Raw genomic sequence first — 21,705 nt, forward strand, 5'->3', positions numbered from 1 at the left:
TTCATTTTACACAGTTCTTACTTTTAAACACTTTGATACCACTTAAAATTTAAAGACAAATGTTAAGATGAATATGTTAAAACTTTAAGACAGTACTTATAATTATTCTTGGGATTTGACCTTGATAATTCACTTATGCTTACTGTGCCCTCTTCTCCACTTGCAAATGAAGTGACAGTCTCGATCCACTTTCCAGAGGAGTCAACAAAAATGATTAATTGAGGCCAGGTGCAGTGGCTCATGCCTGTAATCTCAGCACTTTGGGAGGCCGAGGAGGGCGGATCACCTGAGGTCAGGAGTTAGAGACTAGCCTGGCCAACATGGTGAAACCCCATCTCTACTAAAAATACAAAAAAAAAAAAAAAAAAAAAAAAGAAAATCAGCCGAGTGTGGCGGCACACGCCTGTAATCCCAGCTACTCAGGAGGCTGAATCAGGAGAATTATTTGAACCCGGGAGGCAGATCTTGCAGTGAGCCAAGAATAAGCCATTGCACTCCAGCCTGGATGACAAGAGTGAAACTATGTCTCAAAAAAAAAAAAAGATTAATTGAGCCTTATAGAGTACCTTAAAATATATAATTGCTTTGGATATAGGCAAAGCAAATAACAAATTCTAAAGACATGTTTAAGCATAACTGGATGAAAAACTCAGGATGCAAATAGGGACCTGCTAATGCTGAACAAGGCAGAACATATTTTTGTGTCAGTTTTACTATTTTAAGTAAAGACTATTTAATTATAAAAATCAATTTAATCAGCAATAGAGTGATTTTACTTTAGTGTCTAATTGTAGGGGTGCTCCATAGCACAATTATAACCTCCTGTTGTGCTCAGCTCAGGACCAACTGTAATAAAATGTGACGATAGAGCAGTTCCCTTGATTAAAGCACTTTAATAAATAAATGATAGCTAGATGAATTTACCAGCTAGGAGGGAAAAGGAGCAGATGAAACTGTAAATCCTATAAGAACAGCTTTATTATTCAAAAAAATTTTATGGATTATTTAAATTGTGCTCTCTAATTACAATGGCTGATAATGTTTCATTTTGTTTAATAGCATTTGTTTTGATTGTATCATTATCACAATTAACAAGTTGCTCCAATATCTACCTTACAGTATCTTCCCAGTAATGTGAAGGATAATTGGATCTATGTGAATGTGCTTTTCTTTTCTGTCCCTAGGAGGAGATCATAATAGTCAGAAATCTGGAGAAGTTCCACTTGTAGAAAATTTATATTTCATAAGTACCTTACCCCACTCAAAACATTTAAGATTTATCTATTAACAGTTTAATATTACACGTCCACCCATTCTAATTGCTCCCTCACAAATTTTAATGATTACACTTTTCTTTGGCAGTATAGCAGTAGAGATAAATTTTCAATTTTTTCTTCTTTTTTGGTAAATCCACTGCAGTGTAGAGATAATTTTAAAAGATTTCAGTCTTCTCACATACAAGAATGTTGGGGAAACCTCTGAGCTGACCTGGGATCCCAGTCTTCCAGCTCTGGTTTCAGAGGTTATAAATGGGGACAGCCCTCACTTTCTCTCTTGCTTTGGATGGTCCCTTGGAGCTGATATTTATTTGTGCAACTTTCCTTGGTTGATTTCAGGGTGAAAAAAAAAGTCACTGTAACAGGAGTCAAGAAGGGGCTTAGAACCTAGTCATGTGAATATTTTCAAGTTTTTCTTGCCTTGTGTTTTTTCATCAAATGAGGGTAGGTGTGTGCATGTGTGTGTGTGCGTGTGTGTGTGTGTATGTGTGTACTGTAATTATATTATAATCACGACCAAGTAAAACATCCTTCACCAGCTTTCATAGAGTAACTGCAGTTCCTGTAGAAGGGAAAACGGTGTTGTGCTATAGTAAAAAGGATATGGGCTTGGTATTGAGAACATTTGAGTTAAAATTCCAGCTGTGGATTCACAGATAATTAACTTTTATTTGCTTTGCAAATTCACTAAACCTATCTGAATTTGTTTTCTCATCTGTAAAATGGGAATAATACAAACCTCAGAGGGTTGTTGTAAATATTAAGTATATAAAGTATATGGAATATTATATGCTTGTAATAAGTTGTGTTCTCTTCTGCTTCTTTGTATTCCATTGTGGTGGCTTACCACAAACACAGGAATATGAAAAAAAATAACATTGCAGCAGAACTATCAAAATAAGAATAATACAAAGGAAGATAAAACAATTAGGCTAAAGAAATGCCTAATCTTTTTTACTGTGACTAATTGTAGTACTTAGCTATCAGGTTCTTAATGGACAAGGGGACAAGAGAAACACACTAGGTTATATTATTGCCACTAGCTGAGAAAAAAAAAGACAGATTTTTTTTTTCTGGACCAACATATTTAAAATTCAGTATTAAGTACTTTTACTTTTATTCTGTATCTCAGATTTCATTAAGTTTTTACTTAAAAGTTGAAGATGGATATTCCTGTGATACAAATATGGCCACCTCTTTTTTTTTTTTTTTTTCCGAGATAGAGTCTCGCTCTGTCACCCAGGCTGGAGTGCGGTGAGTGGCTCGATCTCAGCTCACTGCAACCTCCGCCTCCTGGTTTCAAGCGATTCTTGTGCCTCAGCCTCCTGAGTAGTTTGGACTACCGGCGTGTACCACCAGGCCTGGCTATTTTTTTTTTTTTTTTTTACATTTTTAGTAGAGACGGGGTTTTGCCATGTTGTCCAGGCTGGTCTCAAACTCCTGAGCTCAGGCAATCTGCTCGCCTCAGCCTCCCAAAGTGCTAGGATTACAGGCGTGAGCCACTGCACTGTCCGCACCTCTTTCTTTAAAAAAGGCACTGCTAGCAAATAAAGGGAATCTTGGTAGAAGATGTTTGCAAGGTTTGCACTGAAGCTTATTCTATTGTAGAAACGATAGAAAAAGAAAAGCTGACTAAATGAAGAACATATGACCAGCTGATGCTTGTTTTCTTTCAGTTCAGTGAATTCGGGACTCAGTAACTCCATTAGTGACTGCACCCACATAGACCTTTTTCTAAAAGTCTCCACATTTGTCCAGTTGTTTCCTCCTTGGTCCAATGCCAACGCTCCGTCAATGCTATTGCCACCCCCATTCTGCCTCTTCCAAAAGCCTGCATCAGTCATGGAGTCCTCTTCACCTGAAATAAGTAAGTGTGAAGACTTTTGATTTTGACAGCACTCACCCACAACTGGTACTACAATTATAAAGAAAGGTGTAATGTTTTAAACTTTCTGACATACATTAATCTTTGGATTTTTCCAATGAGTAATTGGAATTCCTGGAGATTTTCAGGAATTCTACAAAACATAAATAATCCTTGAAATACATTCCTTGTAGTATTTATGAATATCTAAACACATTATTACAAAGATAAGTGAAATGTTACATTTTATATATTTACAAAGGGCTGTAGCTTATGGTGCATATTTAAATACTTGTGTATACACCAGTGAAGACTACTGAGTTATAGCTAAATAATGTAATATTCTGAACCTTAACAAAGTTAACAGCACTACACAGAATCATGTGCCAAAATCGCCAATGTTAAGATTTATTTTGCTGTCTAAACTTATTTCTTGGGACATCACTCACAGGATTTGTTTGAATTATGCTATGCATTAAATTTATTAATATAAATTTTAGTTGCAAGCATGATTTAGTTTTAGTAGTAGACAGGGCCATGAGCATACACTTAAAACAGGGCAATAGCTACAAGCAAGACACCTGATTAGATCATGAAACTTCTCTCCTCCTTCCTCTTGTCTGGTTCCCAGAAATGTCAACTTCAACCTCTCTGCTCTCCACTGGACTAGTAAACTTGACTAGTGGGTTTCTTCGAACCGGTAGTGTCTCTGTGTTGATTGTTATGTTTTTATCTCTTGCAAGAAATCATCACATCTCATTTTCTCCACTCCTTGACTGATTTTTTTTCTCCCAATGCAAAACACATAAATTACCCAAGAAATGCTGGAAAGAGATTCCTCATGATACTAGGAAATAGCTTCATTTAGGACAGTAGTTTTCAACCCTTGGTGTCACTTCAGATTCACCTGGATACTTTTAAAAAATACCTATGCCTGGGCCTCCACCCCCAGAAAATTGATGTAAGTGGGGTCTTTTTTTTTTTTTTTTTCCAAATACAGGTGGCTCTGTTGTGTAGCCATGTTTGAGAACTTTTCCTCCAGGAATGCCCCAGTGGGTTACTCTCCATTCTATAAATTCTACATTTCTAAGAATACACTTAAAAGCGTTTTTTAATTCTTTCATCACAGGCAAATTTATTTTTGTATTCTTCTAAATAGTTTGTAAGTTTTTATGGGAAAATTAATTTACTTTTGAAAATGTATTCTTAACCAGTAATTTCCAAATTTGATTAGTAATTTCAGAACCTAAGAGGTTGTTTGTGGCTTCCCAGATATTTTGAAAATAAATAAGATAAAATGTTATCTAAAAATAGTGTATGTGTCTCATCACCCCAAAGTTAGGCTTCTGAAGCAAGTGAATATATTAAAGACAAATTGAAATCATAATATTTAGGAGGTTAGTATATTAAATATTAGTACATTTATTATTACATTTTGGTAGTTATAGGTTTTACTCAAACATATTTTTAGTTATTAAAGAAATATATATGCCAATTTAGAAAGTCAAGTCATGAACAATTATTTATAATAAAAACAAAACTTACCAACCCTAGACTCCCTCTCCAGAAGTATCCATTTTTAATCCTTTTGGCTGTCCCAGTTGTTATCTTAGCATTTTTAATAAGATGTTTATGCTGTTATTTCTTGATGGAATATTTTTTGATGTCTATTTCTTTTCTGCTATGATAGCAAAGATTTAGCTATCTATTCTCCTCCATAATTTCCTCCATCCTTCCATTAAATTACATTATTATTTTTCAGTTGTGTACTGGTTACTTCTGATTTTAATTATATAGCTCCATCATTCTTTCCTGTAAATTAACTGTGAGCTGGGTCTCTTGACTCTTCACTTTATAAGATGAGGATGTGACTGCCTGTGGCCTTCTCTTCCACTGTCCCAAGTCTCCCCAAATCTACCATTTTTACTTTTGCATCATCACAGTTGATAAAAACACATTCCATTTTACATGTCTTCTGTATTTTACCTATAGATTAGTTTTAAAATGTGATAGCTAATATATAGTTTTCACATTCATCTGACTATAGAGAATTACACATAGTAAAGCCTATCAGACATTTGTATATTGAGATGCTCTCCCATTTCTTCACCTCTTTTGTATTCTGTCATCATTTAAAAAAATTTATATTAGGTATTTTTTCTTGACTTTCTTTGTCAGAGACCACTACACTCAATCATGGGCCCTTTTTCATACTCTTAACAATCAGGACTGGCTCTTGGATCAAAGTTGAAATCCTGGGACTTCCTTCTAGGTTAAGAATCATTTTCTCTCATATTTCAAAGGCATTATTGTATTGCTTTTTAGCATCCAGTATTTATGGTTAAGTCTTCTGTTGGTCATTTTTTCTGACCTGGTAAATTTTAATCCCTTCTGAAACTTTTTGAATTTTCTTTTTTATATTTGGCACTACAAAATTTTACAATAAAGTGTCTAGTTGTAATTTTTCATTAATTATCCTAAGCACTCACCCACTATTTCAATCTTAAGATTCATGTCCTTCAGTTCTGAGAAATTCTTTTTTTTTTTTTTTTTTTTTTTTGTGAGACGGAGTCTCTCTCTCTGTCGCCCAGGCTGGAGTGCAGTGGTGCGATCTCCGCTCACTGCAAGCTCCGCCTCCTGGGCTCACGCCATTCTCCTGCCTCAGCCTCCCAAGTAGCTGGAACTACAGGCGCCCGCCACCACGCCCAGCTAATTTTTTGTATTTTTAGTAGAGACGGGGTTTCACCGTGTTAGCCAGGATGGTCTCGATTTCCTGACCTCGTGATCCGCCCGCCTCGGCCTCCCAAAGTGCTGGGATTACAGGCGTGAGCCACCATGCCCGGCCTCAGTTCTGAGAAATTCTTTCTCGTTTTTTCTGTCGTGATTTTCACATCTTTTTCCACTCTGCTCTGATCATCCGAACTACTGTAGGTTAGTTATTGGACCTCCTGGAGGATATACTGAGAGAGTATACTCTCTCTTGTATATTTTCTCTCATATTTGTAATTTTTGGCAATGTTTTACAATCTTTATCTTCAATTATTTTATAACTTATTATTTGGGCTATAATTTTTAAAACGTATTAAGCTATATTATTGGATTTTCTCTCCTGGAGTCTCTCTCTCTCTCTCTCTCTCTGTCTGTGTGTGTGTGTGTGTGTGTGTGTGTGTCTTTCTGTTATATGTATATAATACTAATTTATCTCTGAGGATGTTATTTTCATTATTTTAATGTTCTCCTCTACTCCCTAAATTATGTCAGTTTCCTCCGGAATGACATTTTCCTGTTTACCACTAGTTTCTCTATTCCGTGGTGCAGTCTTGCCTCCAATACCTTATGATGTTTTGCTACTTAATATATTTAAAAATAAAGCAATATTAAGCACATCAGTAGTTCTCTGCACAGTGGTTTTTGATAGGTTTATTTTAGAGCAATTGGGCAGGCATGTGACTATTACAACTGTTAAAAATATCACAGTTAAAAAATATTTCTGGGGGGGTGAGGAATCAGGAAATCCTTTAGAGAAGAGACTTCTGATTTTTTTGTCCAAGTGATAGATGTCTGGGTGCTACAATGTGATACAGAAAGGCAAGAGTTTGACTTTTAATCAATATTCCTATTTTTCACTCAATTTTTCTCTTGTGTTGGTGTTAAGAAACCCCAACCTTCACCCTCAGTTGTATAACTTCAGTTTAACTCTTCTGGGCTGTTTCTTCTTTATCCCCACATCATCATTTTTGTTGTACTATCTTTCCTTTGTTGTTCACTTCAAGGATGTGGATAATGTTTGCACACTCAAATGCCCATATGGCCCAGGCAGGTAATTAAGTAAATGAGGAAGGCTGGTCCTTAAAAAATAAAAATGGACTAAGTATGCCCTGGTGCTGGAGAGAGTGCTACTACTTGTTTCAACTATGATTTATTCTTTTACAATTAATTTGGTGAAATTTTCAGAGGCAAAAAAGATCAACACATATGGTTGACATGTCATCTTGACTCAGGAGTTGTGCTAAGTGCTAAACTCTAAAATGAATTCATTACTTCTTAGTGGGAGGGCTTTAAGTCATTACTTTCTGTCAGACTCCTCTAAGCTACCTTAAATGAACAAAGGTTCTAGGTAAAAGTATGTATTTGCCATGCACAGGCAACCTCAAGGCATACCAAAAATGAAACATTTATTTTTTATTAAAAAAACTTCAATGTAGAAGGCCCTGAATAATCTAAAAGGCAGTAATTCTACCTTGATTTTGTAGTACCATGGCAGCATGTTTCATGTTTCTTTCTCATTTGGACCCTAGATATAAATTTAGGGCTGAATATTGAGACATAACTCAGAGAAAGTGATTTTGTATGGGTCTAGGTTAACGTGGTTCATTTATATAGCTTTCTGGTTGTATAGCTTTATCCAAAGATAGGGCTGAGTTATAATATATAACCTGAGGATCCGATGGATGGCATATTCTTAGATGGTCACTTTTAATATCATTTCTCTTTTCAGGCCATTAGCTAATGCAACAGAGAGTTAATGATCTTATTCTCAGATGGATCCTGAGTGTCATGGTTTTCTGATGCTGATTGAAAGAAGAATTACTAAGAATTATTTGCTTTGGATATGTGATGGTGGTAGGGTTGATAGCATATTGGATATTGAAAAAATATAAGTGTATTTTTGGACTGGAGGAAGACCTTTGAAGGGATACTTGTAAAGTAGGCTAAAAAGAAATACTTAATGTGTTACACCCTCCTTATGATTTTGGTGAGTTTATCAGAGTTAATAACCAGATATAACTTGATGGAGGCAAGAGAGTTAGGTCTCAGTAGTTTCTGTGAGATTTCTCCAAGGCACCTCAAATAAACGTACAATCTATATTAAAACCATGTGCTTTACTCAAAAAGATAATTTTAGGCCCTAACAAATAAACACACAGCGTGCTTTCTACTCTAACTAACTTCAAAGCAGCTTCCCAACTTTTACCCCCAACCGGATTTCTACCCTTAAGTTTCTCCGTTTTAGAATCTGTCTTAGTACCACCATACTATCAATGGAAATATGAAAACAGCATGTAACCACATTTTATACTTCTATCTGCGTTCACAAGATTTACTGAGAAATAGGGCATATGTGCTTTAAAATCCATAAAAACATATCCTAAAATATTTTATTCAGTTAAATCTGGCTTACTCAGGTATTTAGAGCAAAGAGTATGTTTTGAAGGTATTGCCTCACCCTATCAATTCAACATGATGCAGATGCCTCTATTAAGCCTGTCAGTTCCTCTACAGAACAGAGAAAATCAAATCAAAGCTCGACAAACATGAAGTGCATGGTTTGCTGCTGTGAGTCTTCACAATGATTATAGATCTCTAAACAACTGATAAAGTTGTGGCATTTGAAATTGATTGCTGAGATGAGCAGTGGTGCACACCACAGCCTGTCTTTTCCTTGCCACACGTTGCTTAACTGGCCACTCATAGCCATGTGTCTAGACCAATATCCCAACATGTGAGAGATTATTGGAATGTTGCAAACTGAAACAATTTCAAGGTAGGTTTAAGCTGCTGACATTGGAAAGCACCTCAAATAATTAGCATGTAAGCCCAGTGATATTCTAGGCTCCCAAGAAAAAAAAAATGTCAGAAAAGGACCCCATGTCCTTTTTAAGTTATAGACTAAGTAAATTTTTAGTCTCCTTAGAAAATTATCCAGAAAGGGAAATGATATGTTTAACACATGCTTTGCTTTTGGTATGCTGATATATTTTGGCTTTCTTAACTCATTTTATACAACCCAAAGAGCCGACCTCCTGCCAGTTTCTTTGGAGAGAGAGCTTATGGATTCTAGCTTCTAAACTTAAATTCTGCAACTAAATACATCACACTTGCAGAAAGTTTTATGAAGTATTTAAAAAGATTCTCTAAGGCTAAACTATAAAAGTATACTTTATCTACTAAACTCTGATCAAACCTGCCCCAGACTAAAAGCAAAGAGAGAAAACTTAATTTTTGGGTGGCAGATTGTATATCCTCCAAATTGCCACAACAATGTCTCCCATCTCCCATTCCCTTCCTTGATGTTCCTGTTATCAAGATGTGGGGTGTCTGTGTTCCTTCCTCTTGAATCTGAATGAGATTGTGATAATAGCAGAAATGATATGATGTGATTTCTGAATCTCGGTATAAAAAGTGATACAGTTTCTGCTTGGTTTTCTTGGGAGAGAACACAGTCATGTTATTGGGAACATGTTATAAGGAAGCCAAAGCAACCCCGTGGAGGAGCCACTGGGAAGGATCCAATAGCCAGAACCTTCTTACTAGCCCTAAGTGAGCCATCTGGGAAGTTGATTTCCAGCCCCAGCTGAACCACTCCAACTGACTATTTTATGATGCAGCAGTCAGATATCCCCACTGAGACCTGTACAAATTGCAGATTTGCGAGCAAAATAAGTGATTATAATTGTAGTTTCAAGGTTTGGAGTGCTTTGTTAGGCAGCAAGGGATAACTGTATCAGGGAATCAGACAACCTTATGGGCACTCAATTTGGTAGTGTTTTCCATTCCTCTGTAACAGGGCTGGGCAATGTGCAGGCTAAATAGTCTCTGCAACCTGCTTTTTCGAGCTCATAGCTAAGAATAAGTTTTACATTTCTAAAGGGCCATTGAAAAGAAAAACCCTAATCAACTAACCAACCAACCAACCAACAAACCAATCAACCAAACAAACAACAAAGAATATGTGACAGAAACTATATGTGGCTTACAAAGACGAAAATATTTTTTTAATCTGGCCCTTTACAGAAAAAGTTTGCTGACTTCTGCTTTATAATGGTGTTGTTCCACAATACCCTCTTCTTTTAGGCACTTAGTATAAACCGATGCAACTGGTTTTGTGCTGGAAGACAAGCTTAGCAACGGTAAGAACTCTCAGGTCTTTTTCTTAAGGCCTTATCATAACTGTCCTTCTACCACCACTGTGTTAATACATTTTCTGTTGCTTGCAACAAAATAACTGAAACCAGGTAATTTGTAAAGAAAAGGGATTCATTTCTTACTGTTCTGGAGGCTAGGAAGTCCAAGGTCAAGGGACCATAAATGATGAGAACCTTCTTGCTGGTGGGAACCCTCTATAGAGTTCCAAGGTGGTGCAGGGTATCACATGTGCTAATATGTTACCTCAGGTGGATCTCCCTTCCTTTCTTTCTTCCTTCCTTCCTTCCTTCCTTCCTCCCTCCCTCCCTTCCTTCCTCCTTCCTCCTTCCTCCTTCCCCCTTCCTTCTTTCTTCTTCTTCTGCCATCAGTTCCCCTGCCATGATAACTCATTTAATTCCTTAACCTGTAAATCCATCAATCTATGAATGGTTTAATCCATTTAAGAGGGCAGAGTCCTCATAATCTAATTACCTGTTAAAGGTCCCACCTCTCAATATTGCCACATTGGGGATTAATTTACAACATAAATTTTGGAGGGGACAAATATTCAAACCGTAGCAACCAAACTGAGTTTCAAAAACAGTTGCACTTTTTATTGGGTACCTTCATGCAAACATGTTGATTTCCCCATTAAGATGTAATAGACTATAGTTCAAGAAAATATATTTTGGATGTTATATAACTCAGAATCAAAAATAATAGCAGGAAATTGAAATTTGAAAACATTTTCTTGATATCTGTTTACATGCATACTATCTTCTTTCCTCTTCCTTCAAACACATGTATCTGGTACGTCTATAATTTCTTATCTAAGGCCTAAACAATATGAATTTGTCAACACAAATATTTTGTATTCATATGTAATGTATGTTGTAATTATATATTGGAACTAAAGTTTTCCAAGGTGGAAATTGAGCTAGAGGGTGTGAAGATACAACACCAAAAATTTTAGCATTTCTTTTTCCTTAGGTGACTGAATTGGTTAAATTTTAAGACACCACGTCAAAGCCAACTACCGGCCCAGAAGTATATTAAGCGCTTAACTGTGCTATTACGTGTGTTCATTGTACCAGTGAAATCACAGGCTTTTGTCTAGAAAAGTCACTTTCTCAAGTCGTTCTTCCATTAAACAGATTTTAAAAAATCTTATCTTCAATTGCAGATTCAACAACTCCGGATATCCAAACTTTTACCAGTGCAGTAAAAAGAATAAGAGTATTTTGGTATAATTGTGTTTGGATTTAGACAGGGAACTAACAGAGTTTGCAATTTTGAATTCTGCTTACTTGTCAGTGAATTGGGGAATGGGGTGACATTCTGAGGGCAAGAAGGCATGGCAGAAATCTACCTAACCTGATGTATGCTGAGATTGATTCATACTCCCACATTACATTTGCTTTGTAGATTAAAAAAAAAAAAACTCTGGATAAAACACTTAGGTTTGAAAGCTAGTTTTGAGTTGGTAAAAATTTTATTAGAAATATCTTTGGCATTTAAGCTACTATCACTTTGCCAATTGCCAGTGAAATGTGGCAATGGAAAATCCTGAATATCAAAGAAAGAAATGACTTTCACAATTAGAATACATTTGAGTACTGACTCACTCTGTCCTTTACCTGAGATCTTCGTGATTTTTAGAGAAAACAACATAATGCAGGCTTTATAAAGCTACATTAAATCTTTGATAGGTTGAAAATTGCTGTGGAGCTTTAATTTTTTGAAATAGGTTTTCAGTGCAAGGTAAAATTGATGTAATGACATAAAGAAGCAAAACAAGTAACAACCTTTCAAAGATATTCAACATAATTGTTACAAAGTGAAAAACCTTTTAGAACCCCCCATACATTTCAGCAAGAATTGTGTTGTTTTCCATTACAGTTTTTATAGAGCTTCTGTAACATTGGTTCATAAAATGTGTGTCTGCAGAAATTACCTACGGAAGTTAGAGGTAGAAAAGACCTGCTAGGGCATCTATTTCATTTAGAAGCTATCAATAACTAATGTAAGACATGACAATAATGCAACATTAAGGTTATACATTTAAACATAGAAGTCAGGAAATGCAAAATTCAAGGATCTCATAATAACATCAAACACCCACAGTACACAGATAAAATATTTTTGATTGCTAATTATACTGTTAAGTGTTATGCCTTAAAATGAAGCACATGAAATATGAACAAGCTAATGTTCCCTTAGGATACTTAAATGTCCTGGCTTTTATGTTTAAATTGGTAACTTTAAAAGTTTCATTGACATAGATTTTCTTTTTTTGTTTCCTTCCTTTATTTAAAAAAATGAAAAAAAAAGTTTCCATTGATCACTGATGTTAACAGTGTTAAGAATTACCCTCAGCCTCCATATAGCTTTCCAAAGAAGTTATTTTAAAATGGGGCTGGTAAAATTAGCCAGAATTATGGCCTACATTCCTTAGGATGCGGTCATCTGTGTCTCTGAACATCACCTGGTGCTGTGGTTTGACCCTTTCATTTAAGCATGGAACTGTCTTCCCTAAACAAATTGATTTGGTGTCACATTTGCAAATTTCTCAGTCCTACAAAGTACAATATGGAAAGAAATTGAGAGTGGTGATGTAACCACATCTGATAAATTTTGATTTGAAGAAGGCTTTTTAAGAGGGTAGACTCTCCTTTTCAAAAGATTATTCTTAATTAGGGCAATTAAAAGGAAGGAAAAAGGTAAAGCCATTATAGGTGCAAAGCACAGCAGCAAAAATATACATGGGTTTTGAGATTAGAAACTGAGTATAAACTTAAATCAGAGATTTGAAGATGGCATCAGTGGGGTAGTAGAAGGAGGGATCAGGAAGTAGATGATAACCTTTACTGACCCTTCATTGCTTAAGGTCTAAATGCTTGACAAGGCAGACAAAATCTCCCTACCCCAATTTACCACCTGTTTATCTCCAGTGGTAGGCAAATAACAGACTCCAAAAACGTCCATGTCCTAATCCCCATAACCTATGACTATGTTGCTTTACTTACCAAATATATATATATACACACACATATATAAAAATATATATACGTATATGTAAATAATTAGCAGATGTGATTCATTTAAAAATCTTGACATAGGGAGATGATTTTGGAATATCCCAGTAGGTCCAATGTAGTCATATGGGTCTTGATAAGGAGAATCAGAGAGGATACCTGATGAAAGACGAAGAGGTTGGAGTTATGTGAATGCTGGCTTTGATGATGGAAAGGGGCCACAAGCTAAGGAATGTAGGCAGCCTCTGGGGGCTGGAAAAGGCAAGGAATGAATTCTGTCCCAGAGCCTCCTGAAGGAATGCAGTCGTTGCTGACACCTTGATTTTAGCCCCATAAGATCAATTTGGGCTTCTGAACTCTAGAACTGTAAGAACAAATTTGTGTTGTTTTAAGCTACGATATTTGGAGTAATTCGTAACAGAAAACCAATGCACCTGTGCACATTCATAACAGTTGCATCATATTACTTTGTCTCCAAGGTGTCATCTATTTTAAGACACAAAACTAATTTCATAAGACTTGGAGGTGGGTGCAAAACACAACCATTTCTTCTATGAACTAATAATAATTTGTATCAATTGTATATTCCTATCCTTTTAAATAGCATAATTAAACTTGGAGCTCAAGTTTCCTTTACAGTCAAAGTTTAATGATTCTTCTGACTTTCTTCAGGCTATTAGAAATTATGTATTTTGGTCTTGACATGCTGCTTTTAATAATGCATGTTCATGATTTCTTTAGAGACAGATATTGTCATTTCAAGATGTTTTGTTTGCATTTCCTACTTGTTAATTCATGGTTCAATTTTTTCTTTAATTGAATTACATGTTGTTGGAAGTTTAATAGTTTCTCTTGAAAACCTAGGAGAAGCATTTGTCAGGCAGATGTTGGTGCCTCAGTGATAGTCCATCGCAATGCATGAATCAGCCGTGCTGTGCTTCACTACTTTTAAAAGTCTTATGATTTATTCTAAAACATTGTCTATATCTTTTGCCTCTAATTGCATTACCTGTTTGTAACAGTCTTCACATGCAAGCTGCTTCATAGGCCTCATAGAGTAATCTTTTTTGAAGACGTTTAAGTGACAATTGGGTATTCATATTTCAGTGAAAATTAAATTGCATGTGATGCTACCAACGCACCGAACTCAGACAAGTTAATGAACAAACACCTTTCACGCAGACTAGTTTTCTACACTCAGAACAAAAACTAATGGGTTACATCTTTCAGCTGAAAAGATTATTTGGTATTGATTACATAATACATCCTGATTTTTAGCTACATAAAACTGTGAAAAAACGTGCCCATCAGCATCAAGGAGATGTGGTAATACTGTGAATAATAGCTAATACAGCACAGTCCCGATGAGGACACTAAGGCTGGGAGAAGATAAGTAACTTTTCTGAGATTGCAGGGTTAGCCGGTGGCAGAGGCAGCATTCAGATGGAGTGGTGCTGGCTAAAGCCTGAGCCTTTGACCACGGCACTCTGTTACGCTCTTTCCTCTTTCCACCAGCTATACTGAACAGCTCGGTGGTCTATGAACATGCTGTTCTCTTTCTAGCCTCAATTTCCACATCTGGCAATTTCTCTAAACAGAGTGGTTAAAAATATGTACTCAAAAGTTAAATGATTAGAGCCCTGGCCCCACTACTTACTAACCATGCCTCGGTATCCTCATTTCTAAAATGCAGATTTCTTGGTACCTATGGCATAGGTTTGCAGTGAGGATTGTATGAAATAATGCAGGTAAAGTGCTTAGTATTAATTACAGGCACACAATAAATTCTACTTAATAAAAAGGAGGAGAGGAAGAAAATAAGGACTGATGCTTATGTTAGTTGCTTTTGAATAAATTCCACCACTCCTCACAGAAAATTTTTCATATCCTTCAATTTGATTACAGTCAGAAAAAAATTTTTGGATCATCTACTTTGTGCATACCCAGTGCCAGCTTCACTATCAAGGGAATTAAGGGATTACAAGATATGTAAGAATGCTGTGCAATGGGGAGAGCTCCCACACCAGAATCAATGGCAGACAGACTGTGAGCAATGGTCCTGTTTTTCTTGCTCTCTCTTTCCTCCTACTGCTTCAGTTAACGTAATATTTTTGGAATATCTTAATTGGGTAGACTTAGTAAAGCCCCATCTTTGCCACTGAATGTTGCTTGGAGAAGGAGGATTGATGGGAGACTCTTCAATCAACAAGTCAACCAGTACTGCCCCGCTGCTCAAAAATAATCTAGGTGCCTTTCTCAGCTATAAATTGGAAGTGAGTAGGAGAACTCTGATGAAGCATTTTAAAAATTAAAGCCTTAAATTTTGACAAGTAGTGATATTTGGTCTGTGTTATGTCAGTCTCTTGTATTCTATTTCAGAAGGTGCCTCTCTAGGACAGGGAGTCCTGTGCATTGCTACTCCTGCACGAATTTAGAAGATGACATTATCTGCCACCTGTTCAGGATACCACCTCACTCACCTTTCCCTGTTCTGAATATACACTGGATCTTAATGCAATTATCGCAGTTTATTACTAATGAAGGATCTTACGTGACTTTGTGCTTTGTTCTCATAGTCTAGGCCGCTGCCTTCACTAATCATCAGGGCTTTCAAATTCCCACATTTACTGAGTATAATACTTCCTTGAGGTATTTGCAAAACCTTTACTTGTTCTAAAGATGTGGTGAACTAAGTAATAATTTCTCTTTAAAAGTGTTTTCTGCACAGTTGAGTTAATGGAGACAGATCACTTTAACACTTAAGATAAATGTGTGTGTGAATGCACACCCACATAATATACACTCATATATACATATAGATTCAGCAGTAGCAAAGAGGAGGTTTGATGCCATTTAAATAAAAGCTTTGATTTTAGAAAAAATTGAAAATTAATAGAGACAATTCTCAAGGAAGGGGATTTTTTTTGAACTTAGGGAAAACCACTATTTCCTATATACTCTTGACCTTTGGTATATTATTTATCTAGTGGGTTGCAGCTAGCTTTAATATTTGAAGAAGGTCATATGAATAGCCAAATTCACATACCATATTTGAATAATGTAGGCAGCAGAGGTCTAGGGAATTAGCGTACTTAGATCAGGAAGTGTGAGTTCCAGCCCAGTCTCATTTCTACCCCTGATTTGTTGTTTGACCTAAGGTGAGTCATTCTCTTCTTTGTCTGTCAAGGGTGATAATGAGATCTCTTCCTTCTCTTTCTAATATAGATGTTGTGAAGAATGCAATAATCTCCTAACTGGCCTTTCCCCTTTATATACTACCTCCAGAGACATCTTCCTAAAACACTGTTTTGCACTGTAGCCCTCTGTGCAAAAATCCCTAGATCTTTTCTGTGGCATAATATCCAGGGTTCTTCCCATTTTTAATCCCAAGCAATTACTGACCATCTTCAATGTGGCCTGTGCTGTGCATTTTTAATATTAACTCTTAATCTTCACACCACCATGAGCATATTTAGTAAAGATCATGCCTTTTAAATGTAAAGAAAATAAAATCTTTAAAAACACAAGTTTGAAGGCATGTCTATTGGATTCTTGGCTCATGCTCTTCCCACATGCATATTTATACTGCTGCTACTTAGCTTGTGCTTTTATGCGTGCGCACGCACACACACACACACACACACACATATGCACGCACACACTTTTATTTATAACTTTATATTCATGCCCCACTTGTTTTCCAAAAGGATACAAGATGGAACAATAAAATTCACATGTATAACAACGCTAGTACATTAGTAATGAAGCAAAACAAGAACTATGAAAAGGAAGAGGAAGCAAGCATTTTATCTCCAGAATCTTTCCCCACACCATTTACTCCACCACATTTGCCCTGTGATCACACTGTTTCTTGCGTGGACTGCTGCAATGGCCACCTATCTTGTATCCCCACCCTGCTGTTACACCTGTATACTTCATGTTCATACAGAGGGTAGAGTGACTATTTTAAAAGATAAACCATGTATCTGCTTAAAATACTGTGCTGGCTCCATTATTTTTAGGTTACAATGTCATTCTTTGCCACAATCTTCAGGGCTATATGTAATCTTCTCCATGCCCAGATATCAGTCTTCATCGCCTCTCATTCCTTATCCACCTCACTTCAGTCATGGGTGGCCTTCATTATGATCCTTCAGGACATCTTGTCTACAGAGTTTTGCTTTTGTTGTCACCTAAGGCTTTTATGTTCTAATCCAAGATCATCGTATGTATGATTCCTTCTCATCATGTAGATATCGGCTCCTAGTTTGCTAGTTCTCGGTCAGTATATGGACAGATAAATTATTCTTTTTTAAATGTCTGCATGGTAAATACATATTTTCAGAGGATGGGTTAACTGCATTAAGGTGTATCTATTTGCCCAGTCTTTCTCAACTACAAAGAAAAAAATAAAAAATACCGAAACGATCATGTATACACATTAATATACTCGAGGGAAATTGTTTTTAGGAACCATTTTTTGAATTAGAATTACTGGATCAAAGACTATGGGATTATTATTTTTGATAGATTTTTCCAAGTCAGAGAGTTTGTTTGTTTGTTTGTTTATTTATTTATTTTGTGATAGAGTCTCTGTCTGTCGCCCAGGCTGGAATGCAGTGGTGTGATCTCGGTTCACTGCAACCTTTACATCCCAGGTTCAAGCAATTCTCGTGCCTCAGTATCCTGAGTAGCTGGGATTACAGGTGTGCACCACCATGCCCTGCTAATTTTTGTATTTTTAGTAGAGATGGGGTTTTGCCATGTTGGACAGACTGGTCTTGAACTCCTGGGCTCAAGTGATTCACCCACCTCAGCCTTCCAAAATGCTGGGATTACAGGAGTGAGCCACCACGCCTGGCCAGAGAGTTTAATTTTAAAGCATAACTCAGTAAAGAAAGTTTTTAGTCCTTTTAGTCCAAGCTAAGGTAGTCATGATGTGTAGCTTTATGAAGCTCTAACCTGATGCAAGCATAGAGCTTAGAAATCCTTGAGGAGTAAATGTCTTGAATGATTTTCCTTGATGTGCACTTTTCTCAGCAGGGTTTTATGTAGGAAATTTTATGTTGAACACAGTCTCTCACATTTCCTGTCGCTAACTAAAGGATGAGTCGTAGGCTTAGAGGTACTGGAATAAAAACAAGAGTTGACCTCCTGCTACGCACATTGGAAAGTCTGAGCTGTGTTTTTCCCTGGCTGGAGGGTCCCAGGCTTCTCTATGGGGATAAGCCGGGGGTCCCTTTGCCGAATACCCACCCTCTGCCTTCTCCATGCTCAGAAGGGCTAGCACCATGGTTGTCTCTTTCAGAAGTTTCCCCTGACTATATCTCTCCCTTTTCTTTACTCTTTCCACACTTACTGACTGCACTATTTACTTGGTCCTTGAAATATACTGTACTTTATCATTTATTATTTATTTAATTTATGTGTCTTGTTTCCCTCATTGGGATAGTGTGATGCTCAAGGGTAGAGATATTGTCCCACACTTCTTCCTATTTCCACACCTGATGCAGCAACCCATACACTAATAAAAAAAATACAAAGAGGAAGAATGGTCATCCTGCTGACTTTCCATTACTGCCCGTAGCAATGGACCTCTCACCACTCTTCAAACTAGTCTCCCTTTGGCCTATGATATTCAGCATGAGGCTACTAACCCAGACCAGGAGCTGACCACAGGTGTGGAATATTTTCATTCCACATGAATTTCAAACCAATATGAGTCATTTCCTCTGCTTTCTTAGCATTTTCTAACCCATTGCACCCATGACTAAACATTTTTAGGACAAAATTTCCATCACAACTCATTGTTAAGCTGACTCTAAGAAGAAAACAAGGTGTAGCCCTGAAGGAAAAAAGCATCAAAAACTTGCCAGTGAGAGAAAATTAGGATTATATCGTTAGTCATATGAATGACATGTCAGCTACAATATTCCTGCTCTATAATGAGCTATGCAGAGAGATCTCTTTCTCTCTCATATAGACACACATATATATGTATGTGTGTGTTTATGTGCATTGTGTGCATCTCAAAAGACTGCTAAAATGCAATTTCTAGATGCAGTCCTTACTGATATTTTCGTCCTCTGGCAATGTAACATTTGACAGGACTGCACAATTTTGTGCTTTTGCTGCTGCAAAGCTTAGTGTTTCAAAGGCTGTGTATGAAGTGCATACAATGTGAAGCTTTTGTTCTCATCTCCTCTGAATTTCTCACAGATTATGGGCACTCAGTCCATTGGATTGGTGCTTTGTCTTCACACGATACCTTAGAAGTTTGCATATACTTCTTTTGGCTTGCTTCTAGAAAGAAGAGCATTCACTGTCTAATGTTCTTTGAAATGAAGGATTGGGCACTTAGGCACTGCAATATGGCAGGAGCAAAACCAGCTGATTTTGTCTAAATTTTAATTTACTAGTTTTGGCTTTTGATGTTGATAATGATTGACTTGCTACTCTTTGTTACAAAAAGAAAACCATTGTGTAGAATGCTTAGTGCAGATTTAGTATAGCCCCTTTGTTGAAGAGTGGTTAGGATTATTTAAATTCTTAAGCTGTTGCTACTTAGTATTTGGCACAAAAACTGTAGCAAAGAAGAGAGAAAAAGTAACTATTCAGCTAATTTAGACTCCACAAAGCTTTTTGTCTCATTTTAGGTTTCAATGGTTAGATCTTTTAAAACCAGTTTTCACCAAAGTTAAACTTAGCAAACTAAGGCTATCCTCATAATAAATGCGTTGTAAGTAAAGGCATTTTTTTCCCCTAGAGATTTGACTGCTTCTCTTAGCAGTTATTAGACCAATAGTCCTTTCTATAATTAAAAAATGCTATATGTATTTTTAAAAATGCCTCAGTAAAATGAGGCATTTCTTAGCCCACAAGAAGTCCATAAATGCTTCCCAGTGACACTAAATATGAAATCTTTGAAATGCTCTTTTTTAGTTTAAGTATTTTACTGCTCTTTTTTTACTTCTGTCTTCAAAGTCAATTAGAAAAAATTTTAAATCACTTAAATATCTCTCTTCTACCATTCACTCATTCACTAAACATTTATTGGGCACTAACCATTTCTTACATAATAATTTCAAGATATCTGTGCTTGTAAAGCAGTTTTACCTTCACTTTTAATTGTACCAAAGCTTGAACATCAACTAAACTTTTTTATAAAGACTTCAGTATTGATATATCAGTAATTTAAGTAGGATGCTGTGTAATAGTACAGAGTATTTTTAATCTGAGGATCTCAGAAATACAGTAGTAGAATTAATAAAGGCTAAGTCGGTAGTGAGAGGACATTGGTAAGTCCAAGTAGCTCAGTCTATTTAAGGTAGTGGAAAGAAATGGCGACAACATTGCAGGCCTAAAAATCCTAACTGTGTAGAGTTGCTTGGGTATCCCTGACTTTCCAAGGCAATAGAACAATATTTGATGACAATGAGAATGCTTTTTAAATGTCCCATCTTTATTCAAGCAAAAACCCAGAGGTTAGAAAATGTCAAGCTGTTTCCTTCAGGTAGGGCTGTGTGAAGGTGATGTCTTCAGTCTGCATTGTTAAATGTCAAAGATATTAGTGGATTTTAATCATGGTCCTTATATCGATAAAAGCTGTGACTGTGGGATAATGAAACTAAAACTATTAGTGTTTTTAAAACCTTTTCTTATGGGAAATCTCAAACCTATTCAAAGTAAACAAAATAGCATAATGTACCCCTATGCACCCATCATCCTGCTTCAAAATGTATCAATATTCAGCCATTCTTGTTTTATATTTGCTTCTGCCCACTTCCCACCCCTACTTTATTATTATTATTTACAGTTCTATTTTGTGAGATATAATTTACAGATATTAAAGTGCACAAATAGCAGCTTTACAATTTTCACAAATACGTTCATTCTGTAACCCTGCCTATACCATAATGTGCAATGGGATTTATATTTACTATTGTGGATGCGATATATTCTGTATGTATTCATATGAGAGAGAGAGAAAAAAAAATTCTCCATCCATCTACTCCCTGATTCTTAGGCATGGTGGTTAGGTTTTATACATGGGCTCAAAAGACAACAGATAGATGAGCTTTTGTTTCCAAGTTACTAGGAAAAAATTTAATATTCATCCGAATTATAGACTCTCTGACATATCCTCTTCTTGTACCTCTTCAACATATATGTAACTATCATGAATTGGTGGAGAAAGAATCAGTGGAAGAATCTTCAGTCCCATGTTAATCCTCAGAGGCTTTTCTTTGTTAGAAAACTGGCTGGAGTTAAATTCACATAACATTATCTGAGGCTTTTACCTAAGTGAGAAAATATTAATTTTTCCTTTTGATCTCAGTAACCCATTTTTGGGCTTTAATTCAATAGCTTAATCATACCCTTAGATTCCTATAACTTCTTCACAAATCAGGAAATTAATAAACTTCTAGTTTATCCTGATGTGTCTTAACTGTGGAAGTTGAAGTCACATAGGTATGGTTGAGTGGTAGGTGGGCCATAAAGGAATCTCTGGGGCATATTGGAGGATGTGAGTAACAGGCGGTGTGAATTGAGAAGGTTCTACTCTACTTAGATTTCCTCTTCCTAACTTTGTCAAGCCCAACCAGTTGATGATACAGATCAC

At 36.4% G+C, this 21,705-nt stretch overlaps 1 protein-coding gene across 1 annotated transcript in view; it reads left to right on the forward strand.

Annotated features, from left to right (window-relative positions):
* Positions 1 to 2,970: 2,970 nt before the first annotated feature.
* Positions 2,971 to 21,705, forward strand: part of ZPLD1 (zona pellucida like domain containing 1) — a 94,698-nt gene continuing 75,963 nt past the window's right edge. The window contains exon 1 of the mRNA XM_017005703.1: positions 2,971 to 3,144. The gene's annotated coding sequence lies outside the window, so the exon portion shown is untranslated. The remainder of the gene's footprint in view (positions 3,145 to 21,705) is intronic.

This window comes from Homo sapiens, chromosome 3 (genome assembly GCF_000001405.40).
Source record: "Homo sapiens chromosome 3, GRCh38.p14 Primary Assembly".
NCBI lineage: Eukaryota > Metazoa > Chordata > Mammalia > Primates > Hominidae > Homo > Homo sapiens.